A 26,928-nucleotide genomic window follows, 5' to 3' on the forward strand; every position below is an offset into this window, starting at 1 on the left:
AGGGGAAGCAAGGCACCTTCTTCATAAGGTGGCAGGAAAGAGAATGAAGGCAGGAGGAACTAGCTACCACTTGTAGAACCATCAGACCTTGTGAGAACCCACTCAGTATCATGAGAACAGCATGGGGGAAACTGCCCCCATGATCCAATCACCTCCACTTGTTCTCTCCCTTGACACGTGGGGATCAGGGTGATTGCAGGGATTATAATTGAAGATGAGATTTGGGTGGGAACACAAAGCCTAACCATATTATAATCTAAGAAACAGAAGTTTCAAATAAATAAAAAAAGTGAAGGCATTACCATGGACACCTCAGAAATGAAAGGATCATAAGGGACTATTATGAACTATTATATGCCAGAAAATTGGACTACCTAGAGGAAATGGTTAAATTTGTGGAAAAATACAACCTGCCAAGTTTGAGTCAGGAAAAAATAGAAAGACTGAACTGACCAAAACCAAATAGGGACATAGAAAAAGTAATCAAATCCTTTCAACAAAAGAAAGCATGGGACCAGATGGCTTCATGGCTGAATTATACCAAATATTCAAAGAAGAAATAATATGAATACTTCTCAAACTCTTTCAACAAATAAATCTAGAGGGAATAATTATGTATACATTTTTAAAAGCCAGCATCACCGTGACACCTAAGCTGAACAAAGATGTCACTAACAATGAAAACTACAGGCCAATTTTTCTGATGAACAAATGACAGAAACATTCTCATAATGACTTTAGCAAGCCAAGTCCAACAGCACATTAGAAAGATTACATGTCATGACCAAGTAGGATTCATCCATGGCATGTGAGGCCAGTTTAACATTTTCAGATTAACCAATGTGACACATCACATTAACAGACTGATGCAGAAAAATCATTTGACAAAGCCCAATATCTATGATAAAAAATCTCACCAGTTCAGGTATAGACAGCATGTTCACAATAAAGCTATTTATGAAAAATTCCTAGCTAGCATTATAATCAATATGAACAAACGCTTTAACATTAAGATCCTCTGCAAGACAAGGATGCCCAGTCTTGCCGATTTTATTCAACATGACACTGGAAGTACTTGCAATTAGCAATCAGACAAAAAAAAAAAAAAAAAAAAGGCATCCGAATAAGAAAGGAAGAAGTAAAGTTATCTATTTGCAGATGGCATGATTCTATTTGTAAAAACCCCAAAGATTCCACAGAAAAACTGTTAGAACCAATAATTCAGTAAAGTTTCAGGATATGAAATTCATATGCAAAAATTAATAGCATTGTCATACACAAATAATAGCTGAAAAAGAAATCAAAACAATCCCATTTATTAATGCAAGCATCAGAAAAAAATAAAATATTTAGCAATAAGTATAACCAAGGAGATAAAAGACCTATACAATGAAAACTGTAAAATATTGATGAAGACAATTCAAAACATTGAAGAAGATACCAATAAATGGAAAGATATTTTGGGCTCATGTCTGGGCTCATCATAATTAATATTGCTAAAATATCTATGAGCCAAAGTTATATATAGATTCAGTGTAATCCTTATCAAAATCCCAATGACATTTTTCACAGAAACAGAAAAAACAATTCAAATATTCATATGGAATCACAAAAGACCCTGAATGGCCAAACAGTTCTAAGAAAAAAAAAGTTGGAGGCATCACACTTTCTGATTTAGATTATATTACTATAGTAATCAAAACAGTATGGTGTTGGTATAAAAAACAGACACCTACACCAGTGGAGCAGAATAGAAAGCCCAGAAGTAAAACTAAACGTACATGCTCAACTAATTTTGGACTAAGGGCATCAGGAGGATACAATGGAGAATGTATAGTCTTTTCAATAAATGTTGCTGGGAAAACTGGACTTCCACATGTGAAAGAGTGAAATTGGACTCTTGTCTTACACCGTATAGGAAACCTACCAAAAATGGATGAAAGTCTTAACTGTAAGATCAGAAGCCATAAAACTCCTAGAAGAGAACGTTGGAGAAGAGCTCGTTGATATTGGCCTTGGCAATAATTTCTTGGCTGTCACACCACAACCTCAGACTACAAAAGCACAAATAGATAAATTGGACTACATCAAACTGAAGTTCCTGCACAGCAAACAAGACCAGCAGCCTATGGATTGGGAAAGTATATTTGCAAAACATGTATCTGATAAGAGGTTAATATTCAAAATTTATGAAGAATTCATTCAGGTTAATAGAACAAGTAAACCAATTAAAAATGGGCAAGGCAGATACAGAAAGACAAGCGCCACATGCTCTCACTTATATGTGGAATCTAAAACAATTGAACTCATGGAAGCAGAGAGTAGAATGATGGTCACAGAAGCTGGGGATTGGAGAATGGGGAGATGACGGTCAGAGGGCACAGACTCTCAGTTGTGCAGGAAGAATTTTTTTTAAGTTCTATTGCACAGTGTGGCAAAGATAGCTTTTTAATAGATTATTGTACATTTCAGAATTGCTAAGAAAATTATCTTGTTTTCATTATAAAAACATGTGAAGTATTTGAGGTCATAGATATGTTAACCAGCTTGCTTTCATTATCCCATATTGCATTCATAAATCATAACATTATTTTTACCCTGTAAGTTTATATGATTATAAATTGTCAATTACAATTTGAAAATATATAGGGTGGAATATTACTCAGTCTTTTTTTAATTTTTCTCAGACAGAGGCTTGCTTTGTTGCCCAGGCTGGAGTGCAGTGGTGCGATCTCAGCTCACTACAAGCTCTGCTTCCCAGGTTCATGCCATTCTCCTGCCTCAGCCTCCTGAGTAGCTGGGACTACAGGTGCTCGCCACCACGCCCGGCTAATTTTTTTTGTATTTTTAGTAGAGACGGGGTTTCATTGTGTTAACCAGGATGGTCTCGATCTCTTGACCTCATGATCCTCCCACCTTAGCCTCCCAAAATGCTGGGATTACAGGCGTGAGCCACCGCGCCCGGCCTACTCAGTCTTAAAGAAGGAGGAGGTCCTGCCCTTTGTCACAACAGGGTTGAACCTGGAGGACGCTATGCCAGGGGAAACAAGCCAGACATTAAAGGGAAATACCACATGACCTCACTTATGGGTGGAACCTGACGAAAAGGTCAAACACGCAGAGAAGGAGAATAATACAGTGGTCACCAGAAGTGAGGAGATGGTGGTGGGGAGGAATGAGGAGCTGGAGGTCAGAGGATGCAAAGCCGTGCACAAGTAGGCGAGCGAGTTGAGAGGTCCAGTGCTCAGCATGAGGACTGAAGGTCACACAATCATACCGTGTTGGGGATTCCTGCTACATTTTAGCTGCTCTTGACACACACAAAACAAAACAAAACAAAAATATGGGTAATCAGGTGAGATGATGGATATGTTAATTTGCTTCACTATAGTAACCATTTTACTATCTATAACATCTTTTTGTATGCCTTAGACATACTGTTATTATTAATAGTAACAAAAATCTACTGGACACCCACAGGACATTCACAATTTGAATCAACACCAGCATTAACCTTCAAATTATGTTAAATAAAACTTTTTATTTAAAAGTCTTCATTTTAATACGCTAAATATTCAGTTACTATAAATAGCTACTAAAGTCTGGCTGCTCGAGAGATTTCTTGCATAGCATATTTATTTCATAATATTAAAACTTCATTTCTTCATTTATGAACTTTATTATCAAAGTAGAGATTTTTTGTCCTTTTTTAAATCAAGAGTGTGTAACAGGAAGCTGAGTTTTCCTCTCCTCTGTCCCTTCCTCCTGTCCTCCTCTTGCTTCTTCCCTCTCCCTCCCTTCCTTTGCCTTCAAAGCACCCATGCATTTGTGCATATTTTTATTTGTATCCTTAGGTTTGAAGTTTGCTGCTTTCTTCTAATATCTTGGTGTTAGTCATTCAAAACCCTTAATAACTACCATACCTCCAAAACAGAATTGTTTTCTAAGATGAGTTATTGTAAATATAAATCACAGAAGGAAAGCATACTTTAGATGGACATGCTACTTTTCTTAAAGATTTACAATTAAAGATTTACAGTAAATACATGTCAGCTGTTTTAATTTTGATGTGTGTTTTGCTTAATTTATTCTCAATTGAGAAACTTTTTCTCTCTTGGGGCAAAAAGTAACACATTAGATCAGTTAGTAAATTTCAGAACAGGATATGATGATAGAATGAATGACAGAAGTAGACAGTAGGGTGTGGTGTACAGGGATAGGGTGAAGCTGTGTTTTTTTTAATTAACACATAATTGTACATATTTATGGGGTACATAATGATGCTTCAATACATACAATTTATAGTGCTCAGATCAGGATAATTATCATATTCATCATCTCCAACATTTATTATTTCTTTGTGTTGGGAATATTCAATATGCTCTCTTCTAGCCATTTGAAAATAAACAATATATTATTGCTAACTATCATTATTCTACAGTGCTATAGAACACTAGAAGTATTCCTCCTATCTAGCTGTAACTGTGTATCCTTAAAAAAATCTCTCCACATCTCTCTTACCTCCTCCCCTTCCCAACATCTAGTAACCTCTATTCTACTCCTTAGTTCTATGAGACCAGCTTCCGCATATGAGTGAGAACATGCAGTGTTTAACTTCCTGGGCCTGGCTGACTTCACTTAAAGTAATGTCCTACAGGTTCACCCACTCTGCCACGAATGGGAGTGTTTCATTCTGTGTGTGGCTGAATAGTGCTCCACTGTGTATATACACCACGTTGTCTTTATTCATTCACCTGTTGTGGGACACTTAGCTTTGTTCCGTATCTTGGCTATTGCAAATATTGCTACAATTAACATGGGGTGCAGATATATCTTTGACATACTGATTTTCTTCCCTTTGGATAAAAGTGGCAGGTTTGCCAGAATCATATGGTAGTTCTATTTTTAGTTTTTTTGAGAAAGCCCATATTTTTCATGTTGGCTATACCAGTTTACATTACCACCAGCAGTGTGAGTTTCCCTTCCTCTGCACCCTCACCAACATTTGTCATTTTTTGGTCTATTTAGTAATAACCATTCTAACCGGGATAAGATAATATCTTATTGTGGTTTTTATTTGCATTGCCCTGATGATTAGTGATTTTAAGCATTTTTTCATATATTTAGTCATTTTTCTTCTTTTGAGAAATGTCTATTCAGCTGATATGCATACTTTTCAGTAGGATTATTTGTTTTTTGCTGTCGAGAGATTTGAGTTCCTTGTATATGCTGATATTAATCCTTTGTCAAATGAATAGTTTGAAAATATTTTCTCCCATTCCGTGGCTTGTCTCTTCACTCTGTTGTTTCCTTTGCTGTGCAGAACCTTTTTAGTTTGATATATCCCATTTGTTTATTTTTGCTTTTGTTATCTGTGTTTTTGAGGTTTTATACAATTTTTTCTCAGACCAGTGTCCAGAACCATTGCCTCTATTTTTATCATCTAGTCGTTTTATAGTTTTGGGTCTTACATTTAGATCTTTGATCTATTTTGAGTTGATTTTTTTATACAAAGTGAGAGATGGGAGTCCAGTTTCCTTCTTCTGCAAGTGAATAGCCAGTTCTCCCAGCACCATTTATTGAAGAGAAAATGTTCTCAATGTATGTTCTTGGTGCCTTTGTAAAAAAAAAAATCAGTTGTCTGTAGATACATGGATTAATATCTGGGATACTTATCTTGTTTGATTGCTGTATCTATTTTTTGCCTGTACCACGTTGCTTTGGTTACTATAGCTTTATAATATAATCTTAGGAAGTGTAATACCTCCAACTTTATTCTTGTTTCTCAGGATTGCTTTGGCTACTTGGGGCTTCATGTAGTTCTGCGCAAATTTTACAATTTTCTTTTTTATTTCTGTGAAGAATGTCATTGGTATTTTGATAGGGTTTGCATTTAATTTTTAGATCGCTTTGGGGAGTATGTTCATATTAACAGTCTTGATTTTTCCAGTCTGTGAACACGTTATGTCATTCCTTTGTGTCATCATCAATTTTTTCTATCAGTGTTTCATAGTTTTCCTTGTAGGGATCTTCCATATCCTTGGTTAAATTTATTCCAAGGGGTGTGTGTGTATGTGTGTATGTGTGTGGCTATTGTAAATGGGATTGGTTTACTGATTTTTTTCAGCAAGTTCATTGTTCGTACTTAGAACACTATTGATTTCTGTACGTTGATTTTGTATTCTGTAACTTTACTGAATTCATTTATCAGTGCTAAGAGTTTTTTGGTAGAACCTTTAGGTTTTTCTATACAAGATCATGTCATCTGCAAAAAGGGACAATTTGACTTCCTCTTTTTCAACTTGGATGTCCTTTATTTATTTCTCTTGCCTGAGTGCTCTAGCTAGGACTTCCAGTACTATGTTGAGTAAGAGTGGTGAGAGTGGGCATCCTTGTTTTGTTCCAGATTTCAGCTTTTCCATTAAGCATAATGTTAGCTGTGGGTTTGTCATATGTGGCCTTTATTGTTTTGAAGTACTTTTCTTCTGTACCTATTTACTGAGAGTTTTTGTCATGAAGAAGTGTTAAATTTTATTAAATGCTTTTTTTTTCTGAATCTATTTAGATGATCATATGGTTTTTAATTTGCCATTCTATAAGGAATGCAATTTATTCATTTTCGCATACTGTGAATAATGGAATCAAGATTATATCTCGAGTCTATTCATTTCACCATTTGGGGCTGTATAAAGACAAAATTGCTTTTTAAAAATGAGCAAAATAATTATATACATTTTATTATACATATGAATACATAAAAAAATTTGAAAAATGTATTCCATGGATTTGAATTTACCTTTGTGTTATTATGGAAGTTTTCTTCTTTCAACAGGCTTTGCAACATAATGAATATCTGCCTTACACATTTATTCATAACTTTCATTATTTCTCTTTCGTTTAAGTGATGCCTCCATCAACACAAAATGCACAGTACAGAAATAGTAAGTGTTTGATAAATGAATACAAGCTCTGGTCTCCCTGCTTCTCTCAGACCGTCACAGTTTAATCTGAGTTTCCTGTGCCAACTTTCAATATTGTTTATATACTGCCATGATATGGTGGAGGGTGAAAACTGTGTTAGAAACTAGGACTTCTGCTTGGTGTTTTCTTGTGGACAGGTTCTGCACTGGACTAACAGACACTGGAAATCTTCTCGTCCAGGGCTGATAGCCATCAGCCAGGATGAGAGTGCACAGGGAATGCTCAGTTTGTCTTTTCACAGCCACTTAATGTGACTTTCTGTTATTCCAGTTGATTTTTTAAAAATGAAATCTGCATTTTTGACTTGGAAACTGTTGGGAAACAATTCAGTTTATGATTAGGAAATGATTACTCATCTACTTCCAGTGCTGAAGGGGAGATCATACACCTAGGAATAAGTGTCTAGCCTTTCCATCTTCAGAGAAAAATGTTATACAGCAGAGGAATCGACCTCGAATAAACGACATATACATTTTATGCAGGCCATTTTCAGAAAGTACCAAAAGTGAGATGAGACAGTTGGTTCTTGAGATAAGCTAAAGGATTTGCTATTCGTTCATTCATTTTTCTAAGTCTTCTAACAAATGATTTCCTAAGAAAACTACAGGTGGTTCTCACTATTTAGCTCCTCTGCAGAACATCCTTCTTTGACGCTGTTTTAGAAAGTCACTGGCCTTTACCAGAAGTCTTTATGATAAATGACAAGATGAAGTTTGTATCTGCATGTCCTGCAAACATGCTTTTGAACTCAGTGTCCATTATGGTACATCGTTTCTTTTATATAAAGGTCTATATCATTATTTGAGAATTCCTTCCCAGGGAAATGTGTCTCTTCTGGTAAATAGACACAAATATACAATTTTGGATAAATTTGGAAATTAATAATTTCATCACGGTTGTCTCATCTGAGACAAACCATAGAGCCAAACCATAAAGTCAAATAAGAAGGTCAAGTTTGTGACCGCATTAATTTAACTTTGTATGTATTATTTGTCATTCTAAGTAGTCCTTAATGTTCCATGTTTTAAATTTAGCAATTGTAATATGCATATAACTTACGGCATTTCACCTTTAATCCTTTTGAAGTGAAACTGGAAACCTCAACCACTTCTGGTTGTCATGGTGTTGAGTAGGGCTTGGAGGATTTCTGATGAGCTGTGCAATAGACTCTGCCATCAATAATACATCATTGCAAAGTTTATTGAGCCTGGACAATGTGGCTTCTTATCATCAAGAGAATGCCTTTAAATACCTCTTTAATATTTTATAACATGTCATCTTCATGGAATTTAATATATAAAATATTTGAAGGTGGTGTTCACAAGTTGTAATAAAAATTCTTGCAGGCCATACATGCACTTAACATTTGTAGGGAGCAAGTCTACTTCTTATTGTAGAGTTCCTGACAATAAGAGTTACAGGCAAAAGAACTCATTCATCTTACATTCTTGGCCAAAAAACTTAAAAGCCATATGTGCCTGTCTTATTTTTCTTGCTTGTTTTACACAATATGAGCAATGAAAGTATTTCTGAGTCTGTGAGTCTCTGGCTTCCTTTACTGCTTCTCCTGAGTAAATAGGCTGTCACTCATCATGGACATGGACATCCCAGATTCATAGATGACATTCTTTGGAGCCATTTGGTGAAGTGACAACATAATTTTTTGCATAATTTTTTCTAGCAAACTCTGAGAATAAACTCACAGTTTAAAAATAGCAATATGGTTTCCTCAGTTGAATAAAACCAACTAATGTATATGATAAAGAAGATAAATTTTAATTTTTCCTTTCAGATTAATGATATTTTACATAATAAAATCTTTTTTTGCATTACAATTTTTCCAGCTAGAAAAATTCAAAAAGAACTGTAACACTGCTGAAATTATTTTAAGAAATGACAATTAAAGTTTTCTTTTTGATACATCATCACAGTCGGGCTGGTGGGAACTCCATCTAGATGGCTTGTCCATCCTTTCAACATTTATTCCCTCTCCCCAAGAACTCCTGCAAACATTTTATTTTATTTAAAAGAATGTTCCAGGTCCACATTTTTGGAGTAACCTGAGAAAGTCTTGTGCCCAAGTCACAAAGCATGTATTTCTTGCCAAGAGGCTTGATTCATTTGCTAGAGTACAGTGTTGGAGATTAAAAACTCTGTGTAGAGAAGCATTTTTCATGGCCCTTCGTGATGAGTCGGTCATCACTGGGTACTCTGCAGAGGTAAAGAAAGTCTGTTGAAACTTAGGCGTTCACATTGGCACTGTCAATTTAGAGTTTCATTCGCCGCAGATAGCTAAATCCTGCAGCCTATCATCAATACCATAGTAGTTTTTCTATAGTTTTGACTAAATGGTAATAAAAGCAAATTTAATGACCTTTGTTTTATCAGGTAACACAATGTAAATTCAAGCAATGATTATAGGATTTATACAGTCAACAGGAGCCCCAGACAAGACACAGCCTTGGGCCAAACTGTAAAGTGTCCTGCTAATGAGATGCAGTCAGCTTTCTGTGGGGTTGACGCAGGTTTCCAACTGTAAGACATTCTGGTCTGTTAAGATCATACATGCACTGTCTGATTTATTCCTGGGTGAATTTGCTGAAGTCAGTTTTAATTAGAAGATGTGTTTTGACTGACAGTTCTTGGTGTCTGTGTTCGGCTAGTGTTTCTTTCTTGGTAGAAACATTTAGGTGCTGGAGTGCTATTCTTTCTTATCAGGAGGTAAAAAGGCAATTTAAGTTCCAGAGTCATGCTCAGGGGATGGATTCAGCCACACCCTGGCCTGCGGTGTGCAAGCTTCAAGTTGTTTTTGGCAAATCCATTTGACTTCCATCCTGTCAGATTATGTATTTTAGTGATATCCTTGGAATCTACAGATCGTTAAAGTGAGCTCTTTTGAAAATGAGCACAAACATGGGACACACTATTCATTTCCCTCAGTGTAAAGTTTCAGAGAAAATGCAGAAACTCTCCTGTTCTTCTAGTTCACACCTTTATGAGGGTCCCGTTTAACCTGTTTGCAAATCCTTTTTCTTTTTTTTTCTTTTCTTTTTTTTTTGTGAGACAGAGTCTCACTCTGTTGCCCAGGCTGGAGTGCAGTGGTGTGATCTCAGCTCACTGCAACCTCCACCTCCCGGGTTCACGTGATTCTCCTGCCTCAGCCTCCTGAGTAGCTGGGACTACAGGCGACGCCACCACGCCCAGCTAAGTTTTTGTATTTTTAGTAGAGACGGGATTTCACTGTGTTAGCCAGGATGGTCTCGATCTCCTGACCTCGTGATCCGCCCGCCTCAGCCTCCCAAAGTGCTGGGATTATAGGCGTGAGCCACCGCACCTGGCCACTAATCCTTTTTCTTTTGAGCTCTTCACCTAATGTGAAAATGTTTCCATTACTTGCACCTATATCCTAGGCTAACAGCTTTTCACTAAACTATCAAATACACATTCTCATATGGATTTTAATATAGTCTCTGCTACATTGTTTTACAAAACAATAAGTTGAACTGTAAACTTAAAGTTTCAGAAATCTTTCATTTTAAAAATAAAATTAGAGCTTATTTAATCAGATAATCTCCATATATATGTGTGTGTATATATATGTGTATATATATGTGTATATATGTGTGTGTATATATATACACACACACACACACATACATACACACATACATGCACAGGTTGATAGGTTTGACAGCATGCATTTAATCTGCAACACCCAAGAACACAAATACATTCAGAGCCACGGGGAAGTTGAGTAAAAGCAGCACTCCTTTCCAGACGCCTGGAATTGAGTTTGCAGAAGGTATGACTTCAGATCACCCCAGCTGCTCTTGTTTCGACACCACGCAGACTACTTGTAAAGAAAAAATTCTCTCTTGATGTAGGCAATTTTCCCTTATGTTTTGTCATGTTATCTTTTGATTATGTGTCAAAAGATCATGTGTCATCGTGGTAGTAAGTAAACCTCGATTCTGTTTCTAGGTTGTCTGTTCTGGAGGCAGTGGGTAGGGATTGAGGGGGTGACTCTGAGCGGAGTTGCGGGGTTGGCTGCAGGTCCGCCGCTGTTAGGCGGGTTAGCCATCCTCCACTGTGTAAGCTGAGTGTAAGCTGTGGAAGAAGCTGAGCCATGTGTTAGCTGAGTGTACATGATACGATCCATTAACCAGACTAGAGGAAACGCCCACTCACCCTCCCTCCAGTTTTAGAGCTAAACACCTCCCAGGGCCCCATGCCCTGCACCTGCCCCTTCTCTCCTGAGTTCAGTGAGAACCATGCATTTGCCTTTCTCTACAGTTTGGCCACATATGTGTCCCCAAACAACACATTGTTTAGTTTTGCTTGGTTTTGAACGTCACAGTAATTAAAGTCGTACCATATGTCTTCTTTGCCCTACATTCTCTGCTCAGTGTCTAATCAGACATGCACAGGTGTTGAATTTTGACTCTGAGGCCCAGAATTTTCACCTGTGGGGTGATGATTATGCCTTACACATGGGGTTGTGATGTGGTTTAAATACGTCCATAAGGACTATGAAGGTTGTCTGACCTGTAAGAAATGCTCAGTAATTTTAGTCATTATTAATTCAAATAAATAATAAAATCTAACTCAGTTAATATTAAGACTTGGTAACAAATATTATCATTATATAACACTACCCACATGTATATATGAATAAATATTTAACAGAAGTGTCTTTACAAATTCTAATTAATTTTCAAGAAAACACAATTATGTTCACGATAACACAGTTGTGTTCCAAACCTTGATTATATTACCTTTACATGACCTCAGATAACCCTATAATTACTTTATCTTGATAAAGCAAGTATAATAAAGTATTACCTCATTACAGCATTTTGCAGGAGTTTGAATATTTATATGGATTAAAATGCATTATGCTGTATTTCCATTTTGTATAATGAGGCAGTGGCTGTATTACCGTAGGGATGAACTAGAATCACTTTTCAGCTAAAATCAACAAACCTTGCCTAATCTGACCAAATAGTTCATTTTATTTAGGATCACTAATTAAAATTTCGAATTAAAATCAAGCTTTCATGATTTTATTTTATCACCCATTTTACCACTTTTTAATTTTTTTTAAGGCTAAAAGTGTCCGTCAGCTGAAACACATTTCACAGATTTAGTTGGAAAGTATTTGTAATTACCTTTCATTTAATAACTGGGAATGACTCTTCTTCCTCCTCCCTTTCACTGAACCAAAATTGCTTAAGAAGATTGGTTTTGTGTCCGGAATTGGTGGGTTCTTGGTCTCACTGACTTCAAGAATGAAGCCGCGGACCCTCGCGGTGAGTGTTACAGTAAAGATGGCGTGTCCGGAGTTTGTTCCTTCTGATGTTTGGATGTGTTTAGAGTTTCTTCCTTCTGGTGGGTTCGTGGTCTCGCTGGCTCAGGAGTGAAGCTGCAGACCTTTGTGGTGAGTGTTACAGCTCTTAAGGCGGTGCGTCTGGAGTTGTTGGTTCCTCCCTGTGGGTTTGTGGTCTCGCTGGCTTCAGGAGTGAAGCTGGAGACCTTTGCGGTGAGTGTTACAGCTCATAAAGGCAGCGTGGACCCAAAGAGTGAGCAGCAGCAAATTTATTGCAAAAAGCAAAAGAACAAAGCTTCCACAGTGTGGAAGGGGACCCCAGCGGGTTGCCACTGGTGGCGCCGGGATCCTGCTTTTATTCTCTTATCTGGCCCCACCCACATCCTGCTGATTGGTCCATTTTACATAGAGCCGAGTGGTCTGTTTTGACAGGATGCTGATTGGTGAGTTTACAATCCCTGAGCTAGACACAAAGGTTCTCCACTTCCCCACTAGATTAGCTAGATACAGAGTGTCGACACAAAGGTTCTCCAAGTCTCCATCAGGTAGCTAGATACAGAGTGTCGATTGGTGCATTCACAAACCCTGAGCTAGACACAGGATGCTGATTGGTGTGTTTACAAACCTTGAGCTAGATACAGAGTGCCGATTGGTGTATTTACAATCCCTTAGCTAGACATAAAGGTTCTCCAAGGCCCCACCAGACTCAGGAGCCTAGCTGGCTTCACCCAGTGGATCCCCCACCGGGGCTGCAGGTGGAGCCGCCTGCCAGTCCTGCCCCTGCGCCCGCACTCCTCAGCCATTGGGTGGTTGATGGGACTGGGCACGGTGGAGCAGGGGGCGTCGCTCGTTGGGGAGGCTCCAGCCGCACAGGAGCCCACAGAGTGGGGGAGGCTCAGGCATGGCGGGCTGCAGGTCCCGAGCCCTGCCCCGCGGGGAGGCAGCTAAGGCCCCGAGAGAAATCAAGCGCAACACCGGTGGGCCAGAACTGCTGGGGGACCCAGTACACCCTCCGCAGCCGCTGGCCAGGGGGCTAAGCCCCTCATTGAGACAGACGCTGGGCTGCAATTCATCGTCATCTCATTAAACCCCAGGCCCTGCAAAAAAGTCTGGGTCCAGGGAGGCTGCTGACCCATGGGCTCAGCACTGCCCTATGTGCGTTTTTCTGATGTCTGGAGGCGGCTTCTGACCAACTCTAGAGCAAAATAGACCTCACTGCGTTAGTTCCAGACAAGAAATGGCAGCTCCATTCTGAAAACTCTAGATACCATTCTTTTCTGGGAATTTGGTTATGCATTTTGGTGCCTGGCTCTGGACAGTCATTTTTTTCTGCTGTTCTGTAGGATCTCAGGCACACATGTGGCTTGTTGACAAAACAAAATGCCACTTTTTGCTTTAGGTTAGAAGAGTCAGATGCGTCTTCATTGACCTTCATTAAACAAAGAGGTTAAGTCATTTACTGTGTGATTACCATAGGTATCATTTTAAAAACACATTACCTCGGCCAGGCGTGGTGGCTCACGCCTGTAATCCCAGCACTTTGGGAGGCCGAGGCGGGCAGATCACCTGAGGTCAGGAGTTCGAGACCAGCCTGGCCAACATGGCAAAACCACGTCTCTACTAAAAATACAAAAAAATTGGCAGGGTGTGGTGGTGCATGTCTGTAATCCCAGCTACTTGGGAGGCTGAGGCAAAAGAATCGCTTGAACCCAGGAGGCAGAGGTTGCAGTGAGCCAGGGTCGCGCCACTGCACTTCAGACTGGGTGACAAGTGCAAGACTCTGTCTCAAAACAAAACAAAAAAACAAAGACATTATCTCCTGCACTGGACTTGTTCAATGACAATGACTACTTTCCATAAGTAGCTAAAGTTTGTTTTGTAAAAATCAATGCGTCTAAATGCACAGAGATTTTTATTTTCTATAGGTCCATTCAGACCATGGGGTAAAATACTTTGATAAGAACAACCTTATCCCTATACTGTTAGACAAGCTGAAGCTTAGTTTCCCATGCGTCAGGTAGGTATTTGATAAAGATGGTGCTTCTTAAACTAAATATTGAGAATTATGATGATTAATTGATTTGGACCTTGTTTTTATCATATGCAATTTTCTGCACTTTTATAGCATCCATATTAATGATATGATCTATATAATCTCTACCACATGTGTAATTTCACATGGAATCCACATATTCTGTGTGTACTTTCTTCTGTTAGCCTTTGATTCCCTTAAAATTTAGGTTTGTAATGCTTCTGAGGCCCCGGCTTGAGAGTCCATTATTCCAGATAATCAATACATGTTTTCAGGATGCAGCCTACCCTCGTGTGGCTAGAGAGGGGAACAACAGCATGCGAAGAACTGAGAGACAGAGATAGAAAGAGACAGAGAGACACAGAGACAGTGAGAGACACCGAGAGGGAGGGGGGCAGTTTGAACACAGGGAGACGGCGCAGGGGAGAAGAGCTGCCACCAATGCATGGGCCACAGCAGCTTTGCCATGCACAGTTTCGGTGCAAATGAGAACTTTGTTTGGATCGCTTAACATCAGTACCATTGCTGTACAGAATCGGTACCATTACGTACACTGATATGAAAACTATAGTTTCAACATGATTTAATATTTGCTAAACACTAGAAGTAATATTTAGAATTGACAGTTAATCTGTATATAGTTTGTCAAGAGCATTCCCACTTTCAAAGAACAGGTTATTACTTGTTTTCCACTATTTAAACAAAGATTTAAAATTGAAACAAACCTATGTGAAGGCAAAAATTGGGGAAAAAAGCCTTAGCTTTTGTGCAGAGTTGTTCAGTTGTATTGAATGGGGCTCTGTCTGCCTCTCTGACAATGGAAAGGTTAAGTGAAAACATGCTGCATAGATTATAGTCAAACTTTCTCATACAAAGTTTTTCTCTTTGTTGCCTTTAATATTCTAGGTACAGTTGTTTTGATCAGAGCCGTCTCTGTACGTTTGCTTATGAGAATGAGGGGAAATGCTAAGTGGCTGAGGGAATTCCTTGTTTATTGCACACTTAACGAAAAATGTGCATCAGACTTTCCATATCCTGTAATGAAACCCTTTGTTACGAGGAAGTGACATTCGTTTTCCACACTAAACAAGTCTTCTGTGACTGGAAGGCAGCTCTCTTAATGCACGTAAATCAATCTAGCTTTCCTTATGAAGAGGCCAATCTAGCTTTCCTTATGAAGTGGCCGCCTATTGCTATGTGTTCACATTTCCCACACCCCTGTGGACACATGCACACACACATCCATGGCACACACATCAACAGATTCACATGCTCAGACTTGCAAATACCCGTGCATGCCGCCCACACCCACGCATGCACACCCATCTGCACCTGCACACACACACATCTCACGTGGACACATGCACACACACATCCATGTGTACACACAGGCATGCACATATCAACAGATCCACACACTCAGACTCGCAAATACCCATGCATGCCACCCACACCCACACATGCACACACATGCATACATTCACACCCATCTGCACCTGCACACACAAACACACATCTGCTCACGTGGACACATGCACACACACACACACGTGGCCACTTCAGCTACTGCAAGCCCTGTGCTTAAATGACTGTCATAACAAAGCATGTCACTGAGATTTCTCTTAAAACTGTTGCCACTTTTGCCACCCTGCAGCTGACCAGACAGGGATGTTGTTCGTAGGAGATGCTGTTCTCCAGGTCAGTATTGTACACGTTAATCCTTAACTTGATTGCATTTTTATTTTTAACTTGTATTAATCAATCGTTATTCTCAACATTCTTACTTTGTCATCTGTTCAGGTTAATGGCATACATGTAGAAAATGCAACTCATGAAGAAGTGGTAAGTGAATTACATTTTATAGTTATTCTGTTTATTATTCTTGTATTTGAATTATTTGTCTCTATAGTTGATATTTCACTGAGTCTATCCATAGATGCAGTGTTAGAATTGGAAAGAAAGCTCAAAGGTTTAGTAAATCATGTTACAAAAGGACCTTAATAAACTGCCCACTGTCGACTGTTGTGTGCTGACTGGGGCACTTCACGAGCATTCCTGTCAGGGATCCTCACAAACGCTGTAAAATACACTTGATGAAGCCCATGTTAGAGCACTGGAACTCAGGGAGCAGGTGACTCACCCGGGATTCCTGAAGTGTTATCATCGTGCTGAGCACAGGAGGTGTCAGGGCTTCACAGGGTCTCCCCGTACCGCCCGGGCGCTGGAGCCTGCAGGGCCTTCACGCCTTTGCTCCCTGTTGGCTGGCAGCAGCACACGTGCATAGAATGTGTGCCGTGGAGGACACCAGGTGAGACCTCTGAGGATCACATAAGATGGTGGGGGTCAGGATGCATTCGGTGCAGGATGCTTTCCATGGAGATGAGCTTTCTCCAATGTCACGTCAGGTTAGGCGGATGAAACAGACGTCTATCCCCGAGGTACTCATTCTGGCTGTTGGGAAGAGAGAAGCCGAGTGCAGCCTCACCATAGGGCTGATGCCAGGAAGCATGTGGTGGGGACGCGTGGTCAGTCTGGTGCCTGTGGGGTGGGGGCGGAGGTGGAGACAGTATTACAGCTGAGAGATGAGGTGGAGGGCGAAGCGGGTGAGATGACGGGCAGAGCAGTCCCTGTGCTGATAAGTGACCTGGGGGACACAGGGTCAAGGGGAGAGGCAGTGGAGCCGAGTCCAGGACACACGCCTGGGGCCCAAGGTAGCCAGCAGAGCCCTCACGGGAGTTTAATTCTGTGAGTTGCAGCAAAAGGCAAGCAGGCTGGTAATTTAACTTGTCCCACGAAGATTAATAGGCATGCACTCATTTCTTCTTCAGTGTTTATCTTTTCAATTAGCCAACTCTTAGTTCCAAGGAAGGGCAAACAGCCCTAGTACCCAAAAGTCACCCCATCTGCATAGCAGTAAATTTCCGTGAAACCAAGGCAGGCACACGCAGCAGTCTGTAACTAAACGGGGAATCACTTCCTACACGCTCACTCAGAATTCATCTGTGTCTTCATTCAAGATGTGTAGTTATCGACCTCTAATTTGTGCTAGGCAGAGGAAGGAGTCACAACAACAAGGATCAGCATATTTCTTGGCCTCCAAAGCCAAAAAGTCTCGAGTAGATGAAGTGCTGTTATCCTTTTGCTTATTGTGGGAAAACACATCACAATTGATAGAGAGGCAAGACACACCTTCATGACTTCTATCCTAGCCCAGAGAGAGTAAAATTCTTGTGAGCAACAGTTTTTTTGTTTGTTTGTTTGTTTTGTTTCATTTTGTTTTTGAGACAGAGTCTTGTTCTGTCGCCCAGTGTAGAGTGCAGTGGCATAATCTCGGCTCACCGTAACCTCCGCCTCCCGGGTTCAAGCAACTCTGCCTGCCTCAGCCTCCCAAGGAGCTGGGATTATAGACGCCCACCACCATGCCTGGTTAATTTTTGTAGTTTTTTTTAGTAGAGATGGGGTTTTGCCATTTTGGCCAGGCTGGTCTTGAACTCCTGACCTCAGGTGATCTGCCCACCCTGGCCTCTCAAAGTGCTGGGATTACAGGTGTGAGCTGCCACACTCGGCCACAACAAATTTTTGCACCAGTTGCTCACAACTGTAATCCAAGCACTTTGGGAGGCCTAGACAGGAGGATCACTTGAGGCCAGAGGTTCAAGTCCAGCCTGGGCAACATAGCAGGACCTGTCTCTACAAAAAATAAAAACAAAATCTAGTCAGGCATGGTGGCGCATACCTGTAGCCCCAGCTACTTAGGAGGCTGAGGTGGGAGGATCACTTGAGCCAAGGAGTTTGAGGCTGCATGAGCTATTATGGCTCCCTACACTGCAGTCTGGGCAATAGAATGAGACTCCATCTCAAAAAAAAAAAAAAAAAAAAAAAAATCCTAGTAAATTATATGTAAATCTTATAAATGGAGCTATTACAATATTGGACTGATACAAATATACTTTTTGAACCAGACTGATCATATCATATGTTTACATTCTTATGTGATACAAAATAAATTATTAGAGAAATGCTAATGAGACATAAAATCTCAATTTTTCCGATGCATAAAGTTCATTAAAATGCTAAAATTCTAAAAGACGTATAAATCATATGGTTTCACTTCCTCATTTTTCAGAGTAAATTCTGGCTTCAATTAATTCTAAAAGAAAAATGTCAGTTGTACTGAATGCAAAGAATCCTTTGTAATATAAAAACTAGATTTACCTCCACAAAGTGAATCTTATTCACTCTACTGCTTTGGAAAATTTTACTACTTTAAGTTGTTAAAACATCTTAATACACATACATGCATATACATTAACATATAGTTTCCCCTTTTTAGTACATCTATGCATTTTCATCCACACTGGCATATAATACTGTAGCCAGCTACAGCCGAGTAAACTGTCCGTATGTTCACTGGGCAAATTCTGAGACATGTCTCTCTTCAGAGAAAAAGGGAGATCGATGACGGCTGTCACTCAGTGTGACATCCCTGCGCAGACACAGATTGGGATGTCTCGGGGGCGGGCAGCAGGAGCTGCCGGTTCCTCTCGTACCTGTACCTGGTCTGTGATGGGACCACTGATCCCGAGTGAGGCGCTCTGGGAGGTGGTGGGCTGCTCTCCAGCGCCCCCACAGGCAGGGCGCAGAACAACAGCCTGGCAGGGCCACAGCGAGGCTGGTGTGTTCTGCCTGTAATCACCCCAGGATATCTCAGCGCAAGAAGCTTTACAGAATGTCATTTTTCTCCAGTTCAGTGGGAAATTTTAAAAAGACGTCTCAAATGTTAAAGTAAGATACTGTAATAGAAAATCACTTCTAGTCTAAGTTACAGTCTAAGTTCTTAAGTGCTATGAAAACCATTGATAAAAATTGACCTAATTGGAAAAAAAAAGTCACTAACACCTTTCACGGAGCTACCCTTTTAAATTTAAATTAGTCCTTTTAAAAAACACGTTTCAGTCACCTATAATAGCTTTTACTATGATTACGAACTCATGGCAGATCCTGCCTGTAGGTGATTTTGAACTTAACTGTTAGAAATAAAGTTGACATCTTATGTTGGGAAAAATGGTGTGGACACTCTGAGCAGGAAGGAACCTTCCAAATCATCTATTTTGAACAGCAGGTCAGGGTGGGAAGCCCCATTCACAGAAATTGGCTCTGACAGTTTACTCAGCAGACCATGGGGACTTCATTCCATGTTAGCAGAAGAAGGGGTTCCTAATACAGAGCTGAAGCTTGCTTTCCTGTTACGCCAGGTTTTCCATTTAATGACATGTGTTATGGTTAATACTGAAACAGGACGTTACATCCTGTGTAAGCAAGGCCTTTTTCCTCAAGAATGAGTACGTTCTGGCTTCGGTGCCGGAACACAAAGTATGCTATTGCCATTCAAAGGCAGGCTGTTTCTGGCGATGTGTGCTAACAGCTAGAAACTGCAGGAGAAAGAATCACTGGCCATTTTCATAGCTGTTTACCAGGTATCAGGGACGTTTTTGATTTGCTCTGGGATACAGAACACATCTGGGACAATAGCTGGAACTGGAGTTCCATCTGTTGATATTTACAATAGAGCACTCCCTTGCTAATAATTTATTTGCTTTTTGCCTGAGCCAAGAGGCAATCGAAAGAAATGGAATAAAATTTACCTCCTCCACATCTTTCAAGTTTTCCCTACAGCATGGCTTTTGGTTTTCCGTTTTCCAAAGGAAAAGCCATTCTAGGATGTCCAGTCACCCAACCATGATGGGCCTGAATCCAGGGGTCCAGACACCAACGTGGAGGTTCCACCAGTAGGACACATATCTGTTCAGCTCTGTACTCAGGGGAGTTAAAGAGCCCCAAGGCGTGTTTGGGGCCCTGAGACAAGTGTGGGATGAGTCCGAGACAAAGGCAGCTGTCCCCCGACCCACATTAGTCCCACATTGTGACAGGGGCCATGGCAGGCACTGGGGCTCCAAGGACGTGGCATCGCCCCAGAGCCAGGGTCCAGCAGCATTTTTTGTCCACCACTCATAGATGTGAATCTCTGCTTTACGGAGGCTAACAGGGAGATCTGCAGTACAAAGAGTTGGTGGGCTTTCCTCAAACAGACTTGGACTTCCCTTTATTCAGGGCTGCTGTTCTGGGAACTGACTCTCTCCCTGAAATTGATTGAGAGCCCAGGCCTCTTTACTGTGGTAAGTCCAGTCTCTATCCACCTGACCTGGAGATTTTTCACCTACGCAAATCAATTGCAACTGCAATGTATTCCCCATCTATTTCAAACCTAAGAGCTCCATGATCAATTAGCCATGGCTAGATAGATCTGCAGGTCAAACCATCAGCCCTGCCACCCATGAAGGGAACCAACGCACCTGATCTGAAGGTTCAGTGCTGCTGCCTGGGCTCTGCCATCCCGTCCAGGGTCCACCATCCCTTTGGATTCCAGGAGCCACCTTCAGTGGTGGCATAGCCCAGTACCATGCCTGCTCAGCAGGAAAGTGCCACAGCAGAGTTCCTGGGATGGTGGAGCCTTCCTCACTTAGGGTTTTTTCAATTTTTTTGGCAAAGAAATGAATGTAGATTCAGCAAGGGAGCAGGTATGGGAGTATGCACCCTACTTCCATAACCCTTTGAATTCCTTCTGGGACCACACACCAAGGAAGCTATGGCAACTCAACCACACTTAGTGTGGCCACTGTGAGTCCTGATGTTAGTCAACTAACCAAGGAAACCAATAGAGTCTCTCTCAAGTAATTAAACAAATTCAATCCAGAATCTCTACTCATTCAATTCAGAATCTCCAGTCATTCAATCCAGAATCTCTAGTCATTGCACCCATATTAATACATTTGGTCTAATCCAACAGAGGATTCTACAACCCTAAACACATACTCCCATGCACAATCAAAAGTTCATTTCTGCCATTGTCATGACCATTGCATTGCAATTCTTTAGATATGCATGGGATAGCTTTTCTGAAATTAGGCTTCATAATAAGATTTGGGGCTAGTTATGAGACTAGAAATATGGGGAGTGGCCAGATGCATATTGAGGAAAGTCAGCATTGTCCTGCTAAATTGTTGCCTCAGAAAACATAATTCTAGGACCTCTGGGCAACAGTGACTGCCGATAGGGGAGGAAGGGGAAGGAAAGTCAGTAGGATATGAATGTGCAAAAGGGACACAGACATGCTGGGATCTGTTCTCATTCCCACTCTTTGCCCATCAATGCCCTAACTGTAGAGAGACTCACTGCCTGATAGATAGAATTACTCAGCCACCTGCAAAATCAGATATGGGCTTGAGTTTTCAGAAGTCTTAACTCTGTAGTTATAAGAAATAAGGAATCATTTCAGGGAAATCCTGAAGCTCTCTAGCACTCCACTCATGCCTTAAAGTGGAAACATGAGTCCCTGGGCCTTGTCATTGTCTTTCTCCATGTTCTCCACTGCAGCTTTAAGCAGCCCTCTGCCCTTATCCAACACTAAACTCTACCCACTAGGATTTTGTCAGGAAAATGGGAGCAGCTCCAGGAATTCTAGCTGTAACAGTTTGAAGATGGGGATAAACGGGTTCTTACCAAGTTGGGATTGCTGGAATGCAAAGGGCAGAGAGTCTGCCGTCGAAAATATGATATTTGGCCAATGTCAGTGACTCACTCCTGTAATCCCAGCAACTTTGGGAGGCCGAGGCAGGTGGATTACTTAAGGTCAGGAGTTCGAGGCCAGCCTGGTCAACATGGTGAAACCCCATCTCTATTAAAATACAAAAAAACATTAGCTGGGAATGGTGGCGGATGCCTGTAATCCCAGCTACTTGGGAGGCTGAGGCAGGAGAATTGCTTGAGCCCGGGAGGCAGAGGCTGCAGTGAGCAGAGATCATGCCACTGCACTCCAGCCTGGGCGACAGAGCGAGACTCTGTCTCAAACAACAAACAACCCCCCCCCAGAAAAAGAAAATATTATATTCAAAAACTATAAAACTGTCAGTTCTTAAGAGGAAAAAAAACAGAAATTTATTGCAATTCTCATGAAAACTCTGGAACGCTTGCACATCTCCCACAGTTGACAGTGTTGAAGCTGTGGCTCTCAGGACACGCTGGGTAGCCCCATAGATCCATCTACCCAAGGGTGTGCTTATCTGACTTCAAAAACGGTTGACATCTCCTCTTTACCTCCTAAATCTTTAATGAGTTTCTTTCAGCAAACTCTCACCCCGAGACATATGGGAAAGGATCTGGAGAAACATAGAACCTGGTTTCTCTTTCTGCTTTGAGAAGGGAAATGGAGGGTTGCTGAGTTGACAACGGACAACCCACCAGCCTTAAGAGTGCAACTGGCCAGAAATGGATAGACCCACCAGACAGAAATCAGAAAGGACATAACAAATTTCAACAGCATCATCAATCCACTGCATATAATGGACATCTACAGACTACTTCACCCGACAACAGCAGAATAACATTCTTCTGAAGATCACATGAAGAATTCACCAAGACAGACCACATTCTGGGCCATAAAAACACATTTTAACGAATTTAAAGAACAGATATTGTATCAGTCTGTTTGCACATTGCTGATGAAGACATACCTGAGACTAGGTAATTTATAAAGAAAAAGAGGCTTAATAGATTCACACTTCTACGTGGCTGGGGAGGCCTCAGAATCATGGTGGAAGGCGAAAGGCACATCTTACATGGTGGCAGACAAAAGAGAATGAGAAACAAGCAAAAGGGGTTTCCCCTTATAAAACTGTCAGATCTCATGAGACTTATTCACTACCACAAGAACAGTATGGAGGAAACTGCCACCATGATTCAATTACCTCCCACCAGGTCCCTCCCGTAACACATGGGAATTATGGGAGCTACAATCCAAGATGAGATTTGGGTGGGGACACAGCCAAACCATATCAGATACTGTACAGTGTCTGCTCTTAAACCAAAATGGAGTTAAACTAGAGATCAATAACAGATAGCTGGGAAGTCACAAAATGCTTGGAGAATAAACAGTACGCTTCTAAATAACACACTGGTCAAAGAAGAAATCTCAATAGAAATCTTAAAAATATTTTCAACTAAAAATAATACAACTTATCAAAATTTGTGGGATGCAGTGAAAGCAGTGATAAGAAAGAAATATATAGAATTGAAAGCATATATTAGAAGAAATGTCAAAATAATTTTTTTTTCAACAGCAGGAGTTTATTTCCCCAAAGCTCTAAGCTTTCCCCTTAGGAAACCAGAAAAAGAGAAGCAATTTAAACCCAATGTAAGTAGAGGAAAATAAATGATGAAAATTAGAGAAGAAATCAGGGACTGAAGACAGGAAATCAAGATAGGAAAAAAAAAGCTGTTTCTTTGTAAATATAAATAAACTTATAAGCCAATAGCCAGGCTACATATGCAAAGAGAGAACACAAGTTAATAATATTAGAAATCAAAGAGAGGATATTACTATAGATCCTATGGACATGACATACACCTCTATGCTGACAAATTTGATAACCTGGATAAAATGCACCAATTCCTTAAAAAACACAATCTGCAAAAACTTACACAATAAAATGCAGTCTAGATTGGCCTACATCTATTAAATGAATTAAATCAATAGTTAATAACTTTCTCAAACAGAAAGTGCCAGGCCAGACGGGTTCCCTGGTGAGTTCTACCAAACATTACAGCAGAAATTATACCAATTGTCTACAATCACTTTCAGAGAACAGAAGCAGAAGGAACACTTCCTAGTGCATTCCATGAGGCCAGCTTTATCACAATACCAAAACCAGATGAAGACATTATGAGAAAAGAAAATTATAGACCAATATGTCTCATGAACATAGATGCAAAAAATCCTCAACAAAATATTAGCAAATGGAATTCAGCAACGTCTAAAAAGAATTACACACCACAACCAAGTGGGATTTTTTGCAGCTATGCAAGACTAGTTCAGCATTTGGAAATTAATGTAATTTATCACATTAACAAACTAAAGAAGAAAACCCTAATGATCATATAAATGGATGCAGGAAAAGCATTCCACAAAACCCAACATCCATTTATGATATAAACTCTCAGTAAGCTAACAGTAGAGAAGGACCTCCTTAACTCGATAAAGATTAACTGCAAAAAATCCCACAGCTAACATCATAGATAATGGTGAGAAACTAGATGATTTCCCACCAAGATCAGGAACAATACAAGGATGTCTCTTCTCATCAGTTCTTTTCAACACCATACTGAAAGTCCTTGGATGTGGAATGCAAGGTTATTTATTATATACAATTTAATTGCCTTGCTTGGTACCAGAAATGAAAAACTGGACTTTGAAATTTAAAAAGCACAATACCATTTACATTAGCACTAAAAGAAATAAATTACTTAGGTGTAAATATAACAAAATATGTATAATGTTTAAATGAGGTGAACTACAAAATTGATGAAAGAAATCATAGAAAAAAATTAATGAAGAAGATAGTCTATGTTCATGAATAGGGAGACTCAATATTGTTAAGATTTCAGTTCTCTCCAACTTGATCTGTAGATTCAATATGATATCAACCAAAATTCTAGCAAAAAGTTTTGTGGATATTGACAAATTGAGTCTAAAGTTTATATGGAGATGGAAAGACTAGAATAGCCAATGCAGTATTGAAGTAGAACAAAGTTTGAGGCTTGACACTTCCTGATTATAAGACTTACTATAAAGCTAATTTAATCAAGACAGTGTGGTATTGGTGCAAGAATAGACAAATAGATTAATGGAATGTAATAGCCCAGAAATAGAACCACATAAATATAGTCAACTTCTCTTTCACAGAAGAGCAAAAACATTATAATGGGGAAAAGGCAGTCTTCAACAAATGGACATCTACATGTACAAAAATGAATCTAGACATAGACCTTACACCCTCCCTAAAAATGGAGGACCACGGGACCAGCTGCAGAAATGAGAACTGTAATTGTCATGAGTATTTCCTCCTCCTTTTGTTAAAAGCATGTTTGTGCATGTATACACTTGTACTAAGAAAATGTCTTCACTTTATTTCCTTTCTCCTTTATCATGTGACATAAGATTTATTGACTTCATATCAGCATTTAAGTATTGTTAACTTTATATAATAGCATTTGAGTTGGGGATTGGTGTATTTCCAGTTGTACAAAGGATAGTTGTATTATGTTAGGTATAATTATAACCTCATTATTGTCTATATTTGAGGACTATTTTTGATCTCAGGAGATGTATATGGATTCAAATTGACAAGGGTTGGGCTTGTGATGGTTAATACTGAGTGTCAACTTGATTGGATTGAAGGATGCAAATTATTGATCCTCAGTGTGTCTGTGAGGGTGTTGCCAAAGGAGATTAATATTTGAGTCAGTGGGCTGGGAAAGGCAGACTCACTCTTAATTTGGGTGAGCACCATCTCATCAGCTGCCAGCATAGCCAGAATATAAAGCAGGCAGAAAAATGTGAAAAGCCTAGATTGGCCTAGCCTCCCAGCCTACATCTTTCTCCCATGCTGGATGCTTCCTGCCCTTGAACATCAGACTTCAAGTTCTTCAGCTTTGGAACTCAGACTGGCTTCCTTGCTCCTCAGCATGCAGATGGCCTATTGTGGGACCTTGTGATTGTGTGAGTTAATACTCCTTAATAAACTCCCCTTACTATGTACATCTATCCTATTAGTTCTGTACCTCTAGAGAACCCTGACAAATACCCAAGTATGGGGGGTAAGAGTCACCAAGAAAATCTGCAGATAATGATGTCAGTGATTCCACACAGGGAAGGAAATCTTTGATAGTCAACAGAGTGAGGCTAATGACTAGCTACAGTTGTGTGGCATGAAATGCGGTGTTGCCCAGACATGATTGTTCCATGTGAAAGTAATTATCTTCACAAATATTATTCCGAAAACATTGCTGCTAATAACCATTAATTTTAAGTATATGCAATTTTCAGAGGCAGTTGAAGCAATAGAGGTCTGAATGTGATTTTAAAAGAAGAGAGCCAATTACTTGAAGAATTCATCTGTTTTTGCATTATAAGGACCGAAGTAGTAACCTTGTCTGGAAGAGAGGGTGCTGGAATGAATGAGCTGGTGGTTGCATTTTTCTGGCTCCTTGTTGGCTTCCTCTAGATGGAGCAGTACTCACTGCTGGAAAATCAATCCCAGGAGCTGGTACAATTTCAGGGGGCCCTGCAAGAGGGTCAGATCAGTGAGAGCAGAAACATTGTGAGGCTCTGTCATTCCAAATGAAAGTGTTGGAAAACTGTGAAATACGGAATGGCCTTAGTGATTTCCTGGTTGGTCCCACTCCTTATTTCCCACATGGAGAAGAGAGGGCCTGGCCCACTCCTTATTTCTCACATGGAGAAGAGAGGGCCTGGCAGCTTTTCATGTTTGCCAGGGACATGAAGGCGACATCACCTCGTGTTCCCAGGGCAGCCCAGGTGCATGCTTCACAGAAGTGGGAACCCAGAGCTGGGGAGGCTGCGGGGCTGCTGTGCTGCTGCTGTGTGTGTTTTGTGTTAGGCCCAGCACCAGGCTGAGCAGGAGTCAGCTAAGGACCTGCCTGTGAGCTCTTCATGCTGAAGATGCCAGCTTGC

General features: G+C 40.3%; 1 protein-coding gene across 16 annotated transcripts in view; it reads left to right on the top strand.

Moving 5' to 3' along the window:
* Window positions 1–26,928, top strand: part of SNTG2 (syntrophin gamma 2) — a 416,765-nt gene that overhangs the window by 170,780 nt on the left and 219,057 nt on the right. For 15 of the 16 annotated variants that reach the window (NM_018968.4, XM_047444795.1, XM_017004374.1 and 12 more), the window contains 2 exons: window positions 15,994–16,037; window positions 16,140–16,181. In NM_018968.4, coding sequence (NP_061841.2) covers window positions 15,994–16,037; window positions 16,140–16,181 — 86 coding nt within the window. Of the gene's footprint in view, window positions 10,083–15,993; window positions 16,038–16,139; window positions 16,182–26,928 lie in introns of all 16 variants that reach the window. The other variant, XM_017004364.2, reaches the window with a different exon arrangement.

The sequence above is a fragment of the Homo sapiens genome, chromosome 2, assembly GCF_000001405.40.
Source record: "Homo sapiens chromosome 2, GRCh38.p14 Primary Assembly".
NCBI lineage: Eukaryota > Metazoa > Chordata > Mammalia > Primates > Hominidae > Homo > Homo sapiens.